Source organism: Homo sapiens, chromosome 9, assembly GCF_000001405.40.
Source record: "Homo sapiens chromosome 9, GRCh38.p14 Primary Assembly".
NCBI lineage: Eukaryota > Metazoa > Chordata > Mammalia > Primates > Hominidae > Homo > Homo sapiens.
In genome coordinates this window covers 18471928-18492116 of record NC_000009.12, presented here as the reverse complement: position 1 = coordinate 18492116, position 20189 = coordinate 18471928, and the positions used below count along the sequence as shown (strand labels likewise).

The 20189-nt window shown below is 38.6% G+C and overlaps 1 protein-coding gene across 16 annotated transcripts in view; it reads right to left on the bottom strand.

Moving 5' to 3' along the window:
* The window catches only part of ADAMTSL1 (ADAMTS like 1), a 1004318-nt gene that overhangs the window by 418834 nt on the left and 565295 nt on the right, over positions 1-20189 (bottom strand). For 5 of the 16 annotated variants that reach the window (NM_001040272.6, XM_047424073.1, XM_047424078.1 and 2 more), the window contains exon 1: positions 17822-17964. The exons of the other annotated variants lie outside the window; for them this stretch is intronic. In NM_001040272.6, coding sequence (NP_001035362.3) covers positions 17822-17884 — 63 coding nt within the window. In that variant the 5' untranslated portion in view covers positions 17885-17964. Of the gene's footprint in view, positions 1-17821; positions 17965-20189 lie in introns of those variants that run through there. 16 annotated transcript variants of the gene reach the window in all.

The window sequence follows — 20189 nt, the reverse complement described above, 5'->3', positions numbered from 1 at the left end:
TTTTTTAAAATGCTTTCCTACATATTAAGTCCTTTATCAATAATAAATGAGAGTCAGTTACTATTGTCTTAGTATAGCTTTTGTTGTAACTACATCAATCAAGCCATGCATTCTCTAGTTAAATAGGTATTTACTTCAAAAACATGATAGCCTACAATTTTTTCTTTAAAATCTTGTCCAGAGTAGATTGTAGTATAAGTGCCTCATTTAAAATAACTGTCTAAAAGAACCTGTCCTTATCGGGCCACTATAATTTGTCATCATTATCTGTAAATAGTACAGCTCTACTTGTATTAAAATGGGAAATAATAATGGTGATTAGAGACAAATATAGCAGTCATCTCTTCCTATCTTCCAGTCAACAGAAATATTTACGTTTTGGGGCTGGCTAAATTCTGCATACTTTTGGCATTTTTAAACTGAAAAATATAATCCAGATATTGTATATATGGGAAGGACTACCATCTTCTAATTTATAAATTAAATGATCATGTTAAGGAGCCATCTGCAAAACCACTTATTAAATGTTTATTATTAACAGTACATGAAACATGACATGATTTTTTGTGATTTTTGTGAGCCATCTCTGGCTCTCAATGCTTGCAGAGTAGAAGCAAATACTTTGAGAGTTTATAAAGCTTAATTGTGCTTTCAACGTGTAAGCATTTTCAGCCTGTTACCTTTTTGTTTCCAGCAAGAAGAGTTCTTTTTCCTTCCACATCGATGTTGTTTAAGAGAAATAATATTTAAATTGCATTAACATGCTTAGCAATGTGAAAAGTTAATAGATTAATGTCTCAGGCAGTGTTAGAATTACCAAAATGCCTCAGGAATATATTAAAATGGATCTTGGCCACAGAAAATATCAAGAATGCTGAGGCACACCACAGGCATCTTTTTTAAAGCCTGTTTTGTAATAAGCAGAGAAAGTGAAGGTGCTAAATCATGGTTTACTACCCCATTTGCCTCACAGCCTCTCTGTCTCTGGTGCTGGGCCTCAGAAATCAATTTCACACACGGCTGCTATCAGCATTCTTTGAGCTATTAAGACGAAAGCACTTTCTCTTCTTTTTATTAAAACCAAGCTCCCTTTTATCACATAGCTCCTGCTTTGTGCTTTCCTGCCTTTACACTCCACTCTGTCAGTGGTGAGGGCTAACCTGTCTCCTGCCTCCCTTCCTTTCAGTTCTAAACTTCTTGAAAGGCTAACCCATGTTCACTGCACCCACTTCCCCAATACTCCCGAATTCTCTAGTGCTTTGTAATCTGGCTTCTGCCCACCGCTTGGCTGACGTGGCTCCTCTGAAATTCATCAGCATCCTGTAATTCACCACATCCTATGACTTTCCCTCACATCTTGCTGCGGAATATGCTCCCCTGGCTTCTTTGGCAGCGAGTTCTCCCCTGTTTTGTCCCCTGCCTTTTCTTACTCATCTGGACTAGCAAATGCTGTCATCCCCAAGACTCTTTCCTCAGGCCCCTGTTCTCTCTGTGCTCCGATTGATCTTATCCACTTTCCTCACTTGAGTTGTCTTCTCCTTGCATGTGATTTACAAATCTACGTCTCTTCCAATCTCCAGGATTCTAGTTTCACTTACCTGAATGCTTTGTTGATACTTTAAACTCAGCACATCCAAAACCAAGCTCGCTATTTGGGGCCCCAATATTTTAGCAGTCTTTCCCCCTAGCATAGTGATGAACATACAGACATTGCTATACAACAATTCCCCTTTCTCCAGCCTCCTCTGTCTTCCTCCTCATCCCCTTCACCTACCCCCTCTCCCTCCCTCCAATCAATTGCCTCTGCCACCTATTCTGCTTCTGCTGTGTAGCTTCCTTCTGTTCCCCCTGTCTGCTAGAGCCCCCATTCAGACTCTTCTTGCAGTGGTCTTCTATGTGATACACAACTGGGACCCCAGCCTGCTTCCAGCTCTGGCCAGGCCAGTTCCTCTGTGGCATGGGTCTCAGTGTGCCAGGACACATGCAGTAAAACAGCTGAACATAAGATAGGAATGATGGTTTGGGACAGGGCCTTGGATCCCAGCTGAGGAATTGGTCCTTGAGTAGACTCCAGACAGCTGGAGACAGTGAAGGCTTTTGAGCACGAGATGACTAAGGTTTTACAGTTTTCAAAGTACTTACACGTACTTATTTGATCCTCATAATACTACTATGAGGCACTGAAGGTTTATGGGCATTTTAGGAAAAAAGGGGAAATGAGGTTTCTGTTAAAGGGTAGGAGACAAAGCCAGGTTACCATCATTTCCTCAACAGATGAGAGGAATTTAGTATCTCTTTATGTCTAATTAAATAAGTGGTATACAGTTGGGTAAGTCGGTCATTTGGATAAGAATTAAATTTAGCTATCTGAGAAGAGCAGTGGGAAATATGACCAAATACTTAATCTCACACAATGGCCATCTAGAAAAAGAAAAATAAAGAAAATAAAAGATGAGATGACTAGTCTGTGTGGAAGACTGAATGTTCTCAGCGTATGTTTTATTTTGTCCCTTCAAATTGGGCTCAGGAAGGTTTTAATTTCTTCTATCTTTTACGAAATGATTTAACATGTTCATGGTTCCTATTTTTTGAATGAAAAGTGTATACATTGAAGTGGCTGGTGCATTATACTTCAGATTACGCGACATCCTGGTAACTGGAGGATTTCTGAATCTCTTTGTGCATGCTATGTAACAGGATCGGATGATCATCTTCACATTAGGCACCAGAATGCTTCCTCTCACATATAGACTTAACAATTTACAAAGTGCATTCACATTGACTACAGGAGTTCCTGGAATCAGTATATTATCCCTGTTTTAGGGACAAGGGGCTCCTAAGTTTTTGATTTTCACAGGGAGGAAGGGAGTTTATAAAGCATCTTCAAATATAAGAGATATATCCACTAACAGTTAAGAGGTTTTTGGAACCCTTTAAATATTCAATTAGATCAGTGATTGTCAACTCTGTCTATACATTCAAATTACCTGGGAAAATTGCCAATGTCTGGGTCTCTCCCCAGACCAACCGTATCAGAATCTCTTGCGGGGATGGAGGCTGCCAGCCACCCAGATACTTTGTTTGGAATTCCTGAGGTGATTTTTATGCAGAAGAGGGTTGAGAACCCTAAATTAGACAAGCATTTATGAGTGAATTCACTGGATGACTTTCTTGAACCAACTTTTATCTTTATTCTGTCTTAGACTTACTGGCTTCAATGTGCTCCAGACCCCACAAATTCAAAAGCAATCTTAGTTTTTCCTCTCAGTCCCTTTCTTTGAGATTGCATGGAAGACTGTAGTTACGAGGCAAAACTGTCAGCTGCTGTGAATCCAGGGAAAGACAAGAGGTTGGTTTCTGGAATGAGGTAGGGAAATTTCAGCCTTGCAGGGAGAGAGTAATAATTGCTGATGTTTATTGGGCACCTGCTACCTGTGTGGGGTACTGTGCTGAGTAGGTTGCATGACTTGTTTTATTAAACTTCACAATGATCCTTTGAGGTACATGCCATTGTTGACCCCTGTTTTACAGGCAAGGAAACTGGGGCACAGAAAATGACAGAAAGGTTACACTGGTGGAACCAGGGTTGAAATCCAGGCAGTCTATCTCTTAACCACTATTTCTGTGGTTATCAAATGTTGGTGTGTATCAGAATTACCAAGAAAGCTAATAAAATACACAGAGGTCTATACTCATTGAAGTAGGAGGGGCCGGAGCCTTCATAATTTTAACAAGTGTCTGGCTGATTTGGCTACTGACCAAACGTGGGAAGCTACTGAATTATGGTACACTTGCTTCCAGATAAGGAAACAGGCGCCCCTAGATTAAGAATAAAGGAGGTCCTGGGCAGAGGGTTTTGATCTTGATAGGTGACAGAACAGATCTAAGGTAAGACAAACATACAGACTCTCTCCAGGCCCTCAGATTGGGGAGATCAGTAAATAAAGGCGGGAATAATCCACATCAGATGATAGGGAATGAGAGGGTTCCATAATCGTATTTCTGCATCTGAATCTTAAGCCTAGCTTTGCTTCTATTCGTTAGATATTGGAAAGACTGATACAGCATTGCATCAAACCTAAGATGCTATAGACTGAAGTGACATTCCTATTTTATATGCCATTACGAACCCTTTTAAAAATGCCACTCACTAAACTATGGCTGCTATAATTATGAAATTCATTCAAGTTGCTATAATCAGAAAAAAAATTTGTGTCTTAGGATCGATGAAATACGGTACAAGCTGTGAACTGCAATGAACTTGGTTCTGAAGCTGTGGAAATCGCTCAGCACACTGGGGAGGCTCCTGCTAACCAAGGCCAAAAACATAGTTCAAACAACATGGAAAATAATCTGTACTGCATATTTCAATAAGATTTGTTTGCTCTAAGCACTGAATACGCATACATGAAAAGTTAGGAAATTCATAACACCTTTTAGGTTTTGGTACTCAGTTTTCTTACCGGTAAAATGGGTTGTGATCTGTGGTCAGGCTTATATGACACGACATACATAAACAAATAGCACAGTACTTGGCACCTAGGAGGAGACTGAAATTAACTTTTTTTCCCCTTTTGCTAAGTCTAAAGACATTTTCATGCTGTTTGCAGTCAATTTCAGGGAAGGAGGAAGGAAAGTAAAAGTGGTAATCGTCCAAAATTAGAATGAAAGTCAGAAGGACCATGTGATTTAAAACATAAATACCTATTTGATGCTGTTCCAAAGCATATCTACTTTATGAGGTGAGGCCAAGCTATAATCAATTTTGTACTAATGCTGTGTAAAGAGCTACATGCACAGTGGAGACTATTCGTTTATAATTAGGAAAATAAATTCTATACACGAGATTCCAATGCCTGATTAAAAATCTGACGCCTTAGCAATCTGATTAATAAAGAAACAATATAAAGAGTTTATGTGACATTTAACTCACTTTAGTATAACTTAGGAGTTATTTTTTCAAATCATGTTTTTTAGTATAAAATGATAAATTGAGGAATTTCAGATATGGCCTGATTATTTTCTGAAGACCACAATTAATATTTAATCAGGGCAGATACATTTAGACCATTAATGCTACATCTTTTACCGGCATTTTTAGCTGTTTTCAAAGGGAACTTCACGTGTGATGCCTATGTTAGACAATGTGAAAAGCTGCAAGAATCAGGGCAAAGAGATTTGCTGGCATCCCATGTAAAGATTCGTAATTGTGACATGAATCTAAGGAGTGGAGTAGGACGCTATTTGGTGAGAAAACAGATGAAGATCACACATGGGAAACTACTACAGCCTCAGACAACAATAATCACTCAAAGGTACAAAAATGACTCCCTGTTATGGGCTTTGTGTTACATGAGGGAGGTAAAGCTTTCAAAAAGCACAGGATTTTCACTCCCACTCCGCTTTTTTTTGAGACAAGGTCTCACTTTGTCACCCAGGCTGGAGTGCAGTCAACACAATCTCGGCTCACTGCAGCCTCCATCTCTCCAGCTCAAGCAATCCTCCCACCTCAGCCTCCTGAGTAGCTAGGACTACAGGCACGCACTACCATGCCTGTCCAATTTTTGCATTTTTTCTTAGAGATGAGGTTTTGCCATGTTGCCCAGGTTGGTCTTGAACTCCTGGGCTCAAGCGATCCTCCTGCCTTGGCCTCCCAAAGTGCTGAGACTACAGGTGTGGGCCACCATGCTGGCTAGGCCAGGATTGCCCTTTTGAAATAGCCTCTATTTTTAAAAGCTCGCTGAGAGTGAATAAAGGGTTAAGTCACAACAGTTTGGCAGTCTCTTCAGAAAACTTGGGCCTGAATTCACACTTTGCTGAATGACAGAAAGTTCTTAACTTTTTAGGATACAGATACATTGGTTGTTCCCGAATACCTTCAATAATTTGGGAAAAATAATCCCTAACTGTAGGTCAAAAATTTTAACTGGGAGGCCTTGAATAAAATTACTAACTCTTTCACACTTTCATTCAGCAAACATTTGTTGAACACTGACTCAGTTCCAAGCCCTGGTTCTATGCTAAACAGTGGGATCTAAAGAACCCTAGCACCCAGCTGGCACTTTATAAGAGCCTCTGAGGCCTCAAGATGTACAGCAAAGGGAGCCCACAAGAGGTTTTTGCTACCAGTAACTATGTAGCCTTACAGCTGGATGTTTACGCTTCTTTGTCATCACTACTGCTGCTGCTGGTGCTACTGCCTTCGTGGCTTCTCACCAGGAGAGGTGTAATAATCTTGAAACTTTTGGCCTCCCTTCTCCAGGCCTTTCCACTCTATGTGGCCATCCCAGCTGTCTTTCTAAAACAAAAACTTGGGTCAGAGCTTCTGGGGGTGGCCTGCAACACCCTGCATGATCTGGCTGTGCTCCAGCTATAGGGATTCACTCACTGTTCCTTGAACTTACCTTCCCTTTCCTTCTTCTGGGCCTTTGCCGTGCAAGTCCCTCTGCTGGCAATGCCCCCTCTTCCCTCTCTTATCTGCCTGATGAACTTCCATTGAGTTATTCTCTACTAGGACAGTGCCTGGGACACATCAGACAGAAAAATGCCAGCATCCCTCCCATTCTTTGTTTTCTTCTTTGTGCTACTACAGAAACTCATATCCTCTGCTCTGCCTCGGTCTATTATTTTTTAAAAACTTTGGTGCCTGTGAGCTTCCTGGGGAGTAAGACTGTCTTGTTTATCTTTGTGTTTCAAGGAAAGTGACTGGCAGACAGCAGGCCAATCCATGACAAAGTATGTGTTGACACATAGAATAAAGAGAATAAGGACATTGGTTAGCTTTCCATAAGGCTAAATGTGTTTAGTTATTTTTTTTCTTCTGAAATCATGTACCTGGGACTTTTGGCTTTTTCAAATGACCTTTAATTTCTTGTACTGGTAAAAGAAAACCGGAGAGTTGAGACATGAATGAACTCTGCCTCGGTTCGAATCTGTACTCTTCCCCTACCGACTGAGTGATCTTAGGCATGTTACATAACCTCTCTGTGCCTCAGTTTCCTTGTCAAGATGGAAAATTGTCATGGCTCCATCCATAGGGTTCTTATGAGAATTAGATAATTTAATGCAGTATATGTAAAGTGCTTCTTACATTGAAGCAAGTACTCTCTTGAGTATTAACTAATGTTATTTCATTGATGAAACTATGGTGAGAGAAATTTATTTTATTAGCGTCCTTAGTTAACAATACAAAAAATTAGAAACTTGTCTCTACTTTCCGTAACTCCTACCTACCTGCCAACCAGCCTTATTTTTTTTCTGAAATTTTAATAGTCTATGAAATCCAAAAGTCTGAGAATCACTGCTTTAAATCATCTAGAACTCTCAAATGGGCAAAACCCACTGATCGAGTTTCTTAAAATCAAAATCCTGGAGCCTGCAGCCAAGACAGTCCTGCTTAATAAAAGTCCCAGCACCAGCAAACTGAAGTTAGCAAACCTTTTGTGGGAAAACCTACTGTCATTAGCCTTCTATATGCAGCTGACTGGCCTTTTATTTGCCTGAAAGAGGGACTGGTTTAAAGGTTTTACTACTTTAGCATAGCTCTAGATTGAAAAGACAGGTGTTTATGTATCAAATAAACACAGAGACAAAGTAATACACCCATTAAGCTTAGGTTTCAGTATTCCTAAAAAAGAGGATTTCAGGAAAAAGAAGCAAAAGTCAAAGAAATGACCTTAAATATAAATCTTTAGAGATTTAGAGTTTTTCTAACACATTCTTTCTTGAATCACTATAAATAATGAATTAATGTGTCTATTTCTTTAGGCAGAAACCCCGTTACATCAGCAATAGTTAAATATACAGTTTAAAGAAAATAATATCATGACAGCAACATAAAACCACTGGAAAGTACTGACCAATTAATTCCTGTCTTCCTCACCCCTGTGCCAAATCCTTACCGACATTCTATGTAGAAGGACTCATCTTTAGGACCATGTCTGTTTTGTTCAATATAGCATAGCCAGTACCTAGCACAGTGCCTGATATATAGCAGGCTCTCAATGAAGATGCTATTTTGCACTGAGGGAGGAAAGAAAGCTAGCACTTCTCAGAGACGTGCTACATGCAAGATCCCATATGAAGTTATTTTCACACATACATCACCAAATTATCCACATTTTTCATTAATAGGGAAACAAGATAAATGAGGCTTATTGGTATGACATAACTCTAGGGAAGAGCCGTATTTTACAGATTTTAGTTCTCTGTTCTTGCCAGGTCACCCTGATATTTATAAGCCAACAATGATCTTTGAGTTTTTTGTTTTGTTTTGTTTTTGTTTTTTTCAGAGACAGAGTCTTGCTCTGTCGCCCAGGCTGGAGTGCAGTGGCACAATCTCGGCTCACTGCAAGCTCCGCCTCCCAGGTTCACGCCATTCTCCTGCCTCAGCATCCCGAGTAGCTGGGACTACAGGCACCCGCCACCATGCCCGGGTAATTTTTTGTATTTTTAGTAGAGATAGGGTTTCACCGTGTTAGCGAGGATGGTCTCGATCTCCTGACCTCCTGATCCACCTGCCTTGGACTCCCAAAGTGCTGGGATTACAGGTGTGAGCCAGCGCGCCACGCCGATCTTTGAGTTTTAACTCAAGATTGTTTTGCAGCAGCTTCATTCGATCCTTGGTTTCTTCCGCATGTGACATTTCAACATTTCAATCCCTCTCTACCAAAGCCAGCATGATGGCTGTTATTTAAAGGTCCTAAAGGGGCCACACAGTATAATACAGGAGAATGAACTCAATAGAAGGAGAACAGACACAAGGAAACAGCACAAGATTCCAGTATCTGGATCCTATGTACTAGATGCTCGTGATAAATATAACTCGAATCTCTTTACAGACATTTATTTTAAATTAAATTATCTGCAAAATGAAAGGGCTGGAATAGGCAACTAATTAATTTATTCAAACAAACACATCAAACACTTTTTCTATATCAAACTCTTTGTCTGGTGCTAGAGATACAAAGATATTCAGGACAAAATAAAACAAAACCCCTGCCTTCAAAGAGATACCAGTCAACTGAGGTCACATTCCGCATGCATCAAAGGTTCCCTTTAATTCTAAAACCATTCTATGAATCTATGGGCTGGGAATTTAAATGCCAATTAACCTCATAACAGTAATTTCAAAGCATGTTTGTTATCTCAGACCAGTTACAAGCCCCAAATAAGAACTAAAAGTGTGTAGTATATCAGGGAAATTATATTAGGTCTCAGTGACAAATGGTTATAACAGCTAGAAAAAAAGAACCGGCTAGTTCTGAAAACGTTCCCACCAAATCTCACTTAAGCACACCTGAACAGTAGGAGTTCTTATTGTTTCCATTAATCTTTTTCATTCCTAGTTGTATTGATGAAGTACAATATTCTAACAATACTCATACAGACTTCAAATGGTGACTGAGATTACAGCCAGCAAAGGAGGCTGAGAAATCAGATACCCTACCATACCTTACTATGGGAACAAAGTGAGGTATATTTATTTTATTGGACAGTTTGAATTTATTATAGGTTGCTCACAATTTCCTGTCTCATTTCTGTAGTGCTCTTGGAATTTATGTCAGGATGTCTTAGGTTATCACGCTCTTTTCATCCCAACATTTATGCCAACAAACTGAATTGACTTAGAGAAAGTCCCTGGACAAAAATTGAAGGGGAAAATACCCAAAGCTTTAGCTGGAGAATGGCAGAAGCTTTGGAAAAAAATCTGAAAAAGCAATGAAGATGAAAATGGAAACTCCGTGAAAATTAATGTAGTGTAGAATTGGCAAACATACCACTTATTTCTTTAAACAAATAGAAGAAAGAACCCGCTTATGAGGTGCACCCAAATAATTCACAGGTGGTGAAACTATTAGAGTCCGGCAATTTCTTGCCTCAGAAGTGGAATAAATCTCCTGTATTATAAACGGCATATGTTCATGCACGTGATTTTTCTGCTATTCCCTTTCTTTCAACTATCCTACTTTTGATGCACAAGGTCATCTTGGTCTTATTGTAATTAATTTATTTTAATAAGAACTTTAGGTATAATTCTAATGAGGATGGGAGATACAACCTCATATAGTAATTGCACTGACAGAAATATAATTCCAAATGGAATCTATTTGTTTTTTGCGTGGATTTTGGTTGTTGCCAAGAAAGCACAATGTAGTGGAAACTATGTACAGATTGTAATCTGGCAGCAGGTTCCCCAGTGATAGTGGGGCAGATGAAAACTCTCTAGACATTGGTCACACATAATGGTAATTCTCACAAAGATAACCATTTATCTTGAAAATAGTTTTTCCCTAAAGAATATTAACTAAAAAATTGTTCCAGTGTGTTCTGTTGCACAAATTGAGACTATAAACTATAGAAACAGTAAAAATAACTTTTCATGTTCAGAGTCAAATAGTGATTGATAATTTGAAAATAACACATTCATAATCTATGGAAAGCCATAATTTACATTTACACAGGGATAAAAGGATTAAACAAACAGCGTCTAAGCAGGTGCAGAGAGTTATTTACAAGATGAACCAGCTTGTGGGGAAATTGAAAATAATAATGTCCATCACAGAACTGTTGCCTACAGAAGAGTTGTGTTTTGAAAAATTAAAAAAAAAAAAAACTCTTGACAACAAAATGTCCAACACACTTCCAAGCTCTTCACTGTAGAGATTGTGACTTAATCTCCGTAGCTGGGATTATAGATGCCTGCCACCATGCCCAGCTAATTTTTGTATTTTTAGTAGAGATGGGGTTTCACCATGTTGGCCAGGCTGGTCTCGAACTCCTGACCTCAGGTGATCCACCCTCCTCGGCCTCCCAGAGTGCTGGGATTACAGATGTGAGCCACTGCACCCAGCCTAAAACCACTGTTCTTTCATGGCACTCAGACACCTCCAAGAAAAATGTGTTAAAGATTGTTTGAAACTAGGGATATTCAAGAAGTGTGGTTTACTTTATATATCGCTGTACAAAACATTTGTTTACTTTGCCTTTGTGAGTCTGTTCCCTCTCTGTGAATTGTTCACTCTGATTTTCTGACATTCTGCCCTTGGAGCAGTTTCAGTGTTGCACCCTGGTTTCAGCTTCTCAGCATCTTTTTCTGTTATATTCGCCTTCCCCTTGGATCTGTGTGCTTCTATGTTCTTGGCCTCACTGTTTGATCCCACTCTGTCCCAGGAGATTTCAACTGTTTCACCACAGCCTTGCCTCTTTGGTTTTCTTTCCTCATTTTCTACCACTCCCTCATCCACTTCCAGATTCTATGTTTTAAAAATGGACCCATTTTCCTATTTTCCCTGTAGTACTGACACATACCCCCAACTACTTATCACACTTCAGGTATGCAGTAAATTGCAAACCGCAAAGATCAAACCACCATTAGAATGATGTGGCATCTTGTTAGTTCTCTTTTCCCATATAATAAATGGAAAACGGTATTAGTACTTACTTATGAGTAAGTACTGGCATGTATAGCATCTAAATTTGAAGCATATGTTATTTCTTAAAAGTTTTCAGCATAACAAACAACACCTTTCCCAAAATTTCAGGGTTTTCACACAACAAAGTTTGTTTCTTGCTCATGGTTAAATGAATGTTCACAGTGTAAGTCTGTGAGAGTGACACTGAGGGGCTGTGCTCCATGTAGTCATTCAGGGACCTAGACTTCCACTTGGTGGCTTTGCCATTCCTTAGAGTCATGAAGTTTTTTCTAGTGGATTCTCTGCATCCAGCAGGTGGGTAAAGAGAGAGTGTTTGATGCTTGGAGGATCACATAGGCTGAGGGATCAGGCCTACAAGTGCCATATAGTACTTCTAGCTATTTTTCACTGATGAGAACTCAATTACATAGTACCATCCAGTCACAGGGAAGGCTGGCAAATACAGTTTATCATTGTGCCCAGTAGCAAGAAGAAACAGGTTTTAGTGAATCCACAGCATTGTCTCTGCTAACATGAGAGTTTATTTTAAGTACCTTCAAGTTTTACAAAACTGTGACTAATGTAAGTATCGTTTTCTTCCTGAGGACAAGTTTTGAAAAAGGAAAAATATTTGAGAACTAAATGGATAAAAAATATATGAAACATCCAAAATGATTCATTCTAATTAACAAGAGCAAAAGGGGTTAATTGTTGTTCAGTGTGTGGCTACGTATATTTAAAAGACAGAGAAAGGAATACAGAATATATACCTCTTTTGCGTTTCTTAGCGTTGATGACTTGGTCTTACCAAAACCAGAAATAGTGAAACGCTTCACATGTAAAATGAATGCTGACATTTTTCCTTCCTACTTGTACTTTTCCCTGTTTTCACCTTTTCTTGCCAAGTCATTCTTATTTTTCCATTTATTTATTCATTCACCCACGTTTATTGAGATCAAATTACCAGGCATTCTGAAAGAGGCAGGAGGAACAAGTCACACCTTCTGCTGTCCCCCACAGCTTTGTGGGACAGAAAGAAGTGTAAGATAAGTAAGAGATGGGCGATGGCACAGATAAATGCAAAGTAGCCCAAGAACTATAAAAATTACATATAAAATATTTTAGAGATTACAATGAATTATTTATGCCTTCTGACAAGCAATTACTAAGCGCTGACTGTACACATAGCTATATATGGGTAGAATTTGGGATGGGGCTATTTGAACACAGAAATTATGGTATTTCTCCTAATAAAGGTTACAATTACTTCATGAGATAAAATATATTTCTCTAATCAAAATAAAGAATGCTTGTGGATACAGCAAAACTTTTTAATGGATTTATGAATACTGAGTTTCTTGGGAAAGACAATAAACAAAAAGCCTGAGGTCACTGTTGGCTGCAGATTACAGCCATTGGGCATCTTCTTGACGTGGCCAGAAAACTTAACTAACTGCCCTCCATGCTGGGTGCTCCAGTTAACAGAGTCCCTGAGAGGCAAAACAGAACAGTTAAGCTTTATTCAATGTAGGTTTTAATCTTGAAGTTCGGGAATTGGGGAGATTTAGTCATTTATTTTTGAGCTCATGGAAAGAAGGGGTTGATAGCAACAGCTTACCCCAGTTAGCAGGCAGGCTCCCCACACAGCTGTGCTGGCCTATTTCAATTAGGATCCTTTAGGACTTACATCACCTCTGGTATGCCAGTCCTAAGCCGCTCATGAGCCAGTACTGCCAATCAAGCCAAAATTCAACCACATGGTATGGTTTTTATGATGTAGACAGAAAATGACACGCACTTGTCTCATTCTGGTGAAAACACAAAGTTTGAAGCCAGCTCTCTAAAAGAAGAAAGTTAGTAACAATGACAAGACTGTAAAACTTGATTTAGACACATTTTCCTGTGATTATCTCAATACAGTTAACCAGTAGGTTATTCATGGTGATTGAAGGAATGCTCTCACTCAAGAAAAGGCTCCGGTCCTTATGCTACGAAGAGGTCACTTCTGGGTCACTCTACTCATGAGACCACAGAAACAGTAGAATATGCTTACTGAGAGGAGGGCACAATTAAACTTACATAGCTGGACCTGAGAGCGTGTCATTCCTGGAAACTGGAAGATACATGAATTAAAAGCAGAGCTGTCACTTGACCAAAGAAACAGAACTACACATATGAATTTAAGAATCACTGAAAATATGAAGAATTAAAGAACCCTTCGATAGTCTCTGTAAGTCATTTTTTCTCTTCATTTAGTTCACAAACTGTATCTACACGGCACTCTACTAGGTGCTTCGGGAAAAGCAGAAATTCATAGGACCCAGTATTTTTCCTGGAAGAGTTTAAAATTATATTCTGAGTAAGCCATAATAAAGGGGAGAACCAAAACACCAGACCATGTCTCATGCTAATATAATCCCCAAGCAAAATACAGCCCAAGTAAACTAAGTTTTTAAAAAACATGAGTAACTTGTATAGAGTTAACGACACTTAACTGATAAAAATTGCAAACCCTAACTGTAATATTGTTAGTAGGATAGAATCAACTTAGGAGATGTGAATCTCCTAAGTTAGAGTAATAGCCTACTCCATGGTGTGTTAGAAGACTGCTTTCCAATTTATACATACATAATAGTAAATGGGCATCAACATGTATTAAAACATACAAATGCACAAATACATACATGCATTTATTTATTCATTCTCTTTGTCTCTCAAAAGACTTCAATTTCCATATGCTTTTTCAAGGAAAAACTTTCCTGGTGTAACAAGATTCTTCTGTAGTTCACTAGTGACCACTATTGGACACTCTTCCCTCAACTTATATGAAGCAACAGAAATGGTGTTATGTGAAAATAATAATGGGGGCCAGAAAGTGGTCCTGAACACACTGAAACACTAAAAACAGGAGCCTGAGTAAACAAAAATGTAGCTGGCCATGTCTAGACAAGAAACTTCACAAAAACATGAAGAAAGTGATTTTTAAATTTTAAATGCTTCATAGCGTTCTGTAGATCTATGCGAAAAGTCTTCAAGCTTGATTTAAAGACAATCTAGGTCTGAGAAAAAGAAATCTGTGTAGAGTGAACAATTATAGAAAAGTGCTTGTGCATGCACATGAACACACTGACATACATGCTGCTGGAACAGGCCGCGGTCTCCTGTAAATAAGGGACTTAACATTCATTCCACAAGCTAAGGGTGCTTCTCCCCATCCAAGATAGATCCACTTAGATAATAGTGGGAGAGAGTGCCAGAGGGACTGAAGGGAATGGGCTATTGTGTTTGACTAGTTGCCATGTATAAATTAGTACAGAGAAGAAAAAGAAATTCAACAGGAAAACACATGTACTTTATTATAATTCCTAGTGTTACTCTTGCAACTCTCACAATAGCAGGCAAAAGAGCTTAAAACCGTTTAAAAGAAACAAAAGGCAAATGCAAATTTGATTAAATGCCTTTCTGACAAGAAGTGATTTGACTTCAAGTGTAGATGGACACATATGTCAATGGCCGGTCATGGTTTTTGCCACATTCTTTTTGAGCTAAACAATTGGGACAAAGGAGAGAGAATAAATACGAGAAAGCAGAATGGGAGGATTGAGAAAATGGCATTATGTAGCTTAATTTCACCTGAATATCAAATGAAATCTCTTGATCAGTACTACTGTCCTACTGTGTCCAGAATATAAATTTATGATATAAGTTCTGTGCATGAAAATATGGGTGGTAACGTAAAATAGATTCAACACCCATCCTCTCAGAAATAAGTTCCAAGGGGAAAGGATTTTGACAGAATGAAGGCTGAACAACCTTCAATATTTGTACACACTCAAGAACCTAGTCATGATACAGATGATTCAGCTGTCAGTGAAATGAGGGATATTTTAATAAGGTAGAAACTGGGCTTGCCACAAAATAGACAGGATGTTTTCCAATTAAGTTACAGAGACCTTTAGAAATTGCCCCAAATAAGTCCAAGAATAGACAGAATCCTTGCAATGTGTAAATGAAAACAAAAACAAAAAAAAGACTATAGGAAAAACAAGCCCCTCAATTCAATTTCTCTATCAAGTTTGAAGGTTGAGCTGATGATGCCACACTTCTAGTTCTAAATCAAGTACACAACAGGCTAAAGGTCACAATCTCTTAAGCCAATAATTAAATTTAATGCTAAAGGGGGCAGTTAATGAGCAAGTTTAACAAGTGCTCATGATATTGTACATATCTTTAATGATCAAGATGATGCAGAAAGCCTAAATATCTGCAACAAAGGGTACAGACCAACCTGCACCACTGTTTTCATTGTTCTTAAATATTTACAACCACCATACGAAGCAAACATGTTCTATTCTCTCCATTATTTGACCTTTGGGTTCAAATGCAAGCTTATTTCATTGCCTGAAAAAACGGGTTTAAAATGTCTTATCTGTATGATTATTGTAAGGATTTATTGTAATGATTTTCAAACAACTAGCCACATTCAGACACAAAATACATGACAGCTATTACTAATGCTGTTATTGCTTGGCAAAGGGATGTATGTAAACATCAGTCAGTTCTTCCTTTTGTAGCATAACTCTCAGATTTCCACTTAATTTAAATGCAGGCATAAAACAAACCTAGGTTTGTTTTAATTTTATCTTTATAATACAATTATTGTAATTTAAATATGATATGTTTTAAGTCCTTCTGAAATAAGCATACATACCTTTTCATTCCACATAAGTCAAATTATATGCTCTAATACATATATGAATATTCAAGATATCACAGAGGGATATAATGCGTTTACCAAATGGATAGCAAAACAATCTATTCCTGAATGGGAAAGTTTTACTAAAGTATAATGAGATCATACTTCCATATGAAAATATCAAAAAAGTAATGTATACTGGTAATTTGCTTTATGATGCAATATAATGGGAAAATAACACACACTTAAAAAAATCACAAAGAAGGAAAGATGAGACAAACTAATGGTGTATACAAGTAACACATCCCATATGGAAAAAATGAGACACCTTTCATAAATCGCTTGCTCCACAAGTCATAAAGCATACCTAAACATTCTGTTCTTTGTATTTTTCAGAACAGCTAAAACTTATAGTTCATTCATGCTTGAAATGTAGTTTACCTTTAAATTTCTATGAAAAATTAAAAATTTATTTCTATATTTATAGCACTTGCAATGCAGCATTATAATTTCTTAGCTACAATGATGCAAATCATTAAGAAGTGGGAATGTATAAAATATTGAATCACTGTCTGATTACTCTATTTGATGAATCTCCTGGACTTTTTCAGTTTGTACCAAATGGCTTTCTTCCCTACTTCAAAATTATAGCGCAGATCAGATTTGTCAGAATATAATCAGAACAAACATTCCTTCCCCATCAAGGAATCAATGCAACCTATTCATTTGCTACATTTTTACCTTGTTCTCTTCCTGCCTTGTTACCTTCTGAGGAAGTTCTGGCATGTTATAAATGTGACAGGAAAAACTACAATCACATTTGTTTGGATCAGTGTGTGCAAATTTTGGAATCAAACCTTCAGATGAGGTTTACTAAGCTGCCTGCCCAGAACACTCTGGTTTAAAAAATGTGCATTGCTATTAATATTTTGAGTGTAGATTTATTTTGGACAGTAAATGTTCATTTTCTGCCCATAAAACCAAGTATGAGTCACAACGGAACATTTACTTCGAGTCAAAAATGCAATGTGTACTGACGTTCAAGAGCAGAGCATCTTATCACTATGACTGTGGCAATCAGCCGTACTAAAAGTCACCATTCCTTTTTCTTCTTTAAAAGTAAATTTGAGATCAAAGGCCATAATCCTCAATTCATAAATCCTAGCATTAACTTCTATCCATAAATGACTTGCAGTAATTAAGAGCCATAATCTGGGTTGGCTGCAAAGAGGCTCTCATTCCCCTCTTTACCTGGTTCCATAGTACATGTGCATAGATGGAAAGTAATTCATTAAAGGCGGTACGGGCAAGCTCTGCAAAGCCTATCCATCAAAAAATTCCAGGAACACCACAGTGAGTGAGTTTAATTTCAGGATGTCTGTTATCCAAATTCCAAGCATACACACCACCATATATACAGTCCTCAGCTCCCAAACTCCATGCAGTATGTCCCAAAGTTCATGTCTCAGTATCAGTATTACTGTATAGCAGTAACTAATTCCAGAAAGTCTTGCAGACTTTATCTTGCTTGGGAAGTTGAGGTTAAAAGTTCTAGAAGGAGTATTCTCTCTTTGTAATCGTGTAAATTATTTTACCTGGAGTTTTAAGATAAAGACACACACACACACACAAACACACATACACACACACACCCCCAACAGCACCCAGACTCAATGGCAATAGCAATGCATTGAAATGAAAAGGCATTTACCAGGAGCAGGAAAGCCAGAAAGAGGAGCAGTGTGCCAGGAGTTGCCCGACGGCAGCATTCCATGCTTGGATCCTTGCCGGAATCAGAATCGGACACTGAATAAGCTGCTAAGTGCTCCTCTGCCTGCTGTCACATCCAGTACTGGTGCTAACACTCCAGTCCTGCCTATCAGCTTCCATCAGCCCCTCTCACATTTCCTGACCGAGGGGTGGGTGGGTGGATGGGTGGGGGGTAAGCTGAATGGAATCTCTCTCGGAGCAGGCAGCCAGCCAATCAGGCTCCTGCTAATCAGACATGCTGAATAACAAAGCCAGGAGGACAGAGAAAGTGTAACGGTGCGAGCAAAAAAGGGGGAAAAGGACGAAAAAGAAAGGCGAGCGAGCAGCAGAGCGAGAAGGGAAATGCAAAAGATGCAGAATTGCAAAAGATGAAGCCAAGCACTGTGCTTCCCATGGACCTGGTTAGTTCTTTGTGAGATGCATTTCTATTTGCCATTTGCCTGTGCTGATGTCTGTTGCTTTGTAAAGTACAGTAGCTCCCTGTGACTGTGTATTGTTCCATTCAGGAGAGAAACTTAATCCCTGTCAATATATAACATATGCCATAAAGGGAAAGAACCATAGACAAAAACCGACTTAATGTGCCCTGTAAATGTGTTCTGTACAACTGTTTTATTTCGCCTCCATAAAGTTCCTCTTTACTTTCTCTCTTGACTTGCAAAATAAATACTCTATACATTTTCTGAAGGTTCCTCACTAAGCCTAAACAGTGGCATAAGTTATTTTGTGTTATTAAGGACTTAATTTGGGGGGAAAAAAACAAAGCAAGTTGCTTCTCTGTAAAGTGACAATTGAAGGCATTTAAGATTTGCTAATTGTAAAGGCACAATTAGAAACTTAGATCCCCCAGTTTAAAAAGAAACCCTCAACAAAGACTCCAGGATGAGTGGGGCTGAAATTTGGGGTTGAGGAGCAGCCTGGTTTTGATGCACTGCCAACTCTCAACTATCTATTTTAGCCACGGGAGAGAAAGAAAGGATGAATTAAATCCTCAGTTAATCCCCAAACCTTCTTTTAACCAAGTTTCAGCTTCCTCCGCACCTCACCCACGTCCTTTATCAGAGCTGTTATAATGCAGAAAAGGCTGAACTGAGTTTTACCTCATTTTTCCATCCACTATTGCAAGAGGGTTGGATGGGATGACCTTGGAGGCCAGTCCAGCCCTGAAGGAAGTGCTAATGAGCAGTGAAATGACGACAAGGCCAGCAACAGCAACGAGAAGGTCAGGAAGCTTCTGAAGCTGCTTAATCCACCAGCAAGGGAGATTTGACTCTACTAGAGGAAGGTTTTATTACAGTTTTAGAAAAGTGTCAAATGTCAAACAAGGATGTATTTCCCCTTATCTGCAAAGGAAATCATTGAGTTTTGAAAGAATAAAAGAGCAGCCCTGGCCTTACATTGCCATAGGTGTGTCATCAGGACGTTTTCCCTTTTCAGATCTCCTGATAGCCCAGAAATATATGCAGTGGAGGTACAAGACATTTAGAATTAATGTTCTTTCCTTTCATTATTAAAAAATACTGACAAGAGGTATGAAACACACGAATATGGAAAACCTGATCAAGCCATAATGGGCATGTGAATACAGGCAGGTCTGCCTATGTACATACCTGCTGCGTTGCTTTTCAAAAAGGTGAAGAAAAGCAGGTTGTTCAACTTTAGGTTACCTACTTCATATGGTATATCAATTAAAGAGAGAGAAACTTTAAAAATCCTATTTTCATGCTGTTAGGAAAGTCAAGGTCATACAAAGATTATCCTTTGTTCTCAATATTAAGTATGTGGACCTAGAAAAATGGACAGTACAAATCCATAACAAAGAGAGCCCATTCTTGAAATATGCTTTTCCCTTTTAGAAAGATTTGTTTTACAAATCTCTCAAAAACTAGCTAATGCTCATAAGCTAAAGCGTATTCACAAGTAGATGTAAAAATGCTTAACTTTGTCTTTCCACTATTGTTTTTGTCTGAAATCCTCATCACATTAAAGAAAGGTGATTGATTGAAATAAACTTTCATTCATAAAGCTATGTTACATGTGTCTCTCTGTTACACACCAGAGCTTTCTGCTAAAGGGTTTATTTTTTTCCCTCCTATCACAGTCATTAACTGAAGAGTTTCAGCTAGTTCTATTAATGGAACATTTTACCTAATACCACCTCCTCCCTCTTCACACATAAACCCTGCTCATTAAGCAGATCCAAAGGGAAGAATAGGTAATGGGAGAAAGAAAAGTAGCAACAAAGCTAATGATGAGATACTATTTGTAGAGGAACAGAAAAATAATCAGCATGGTCAGAAAATAACTGG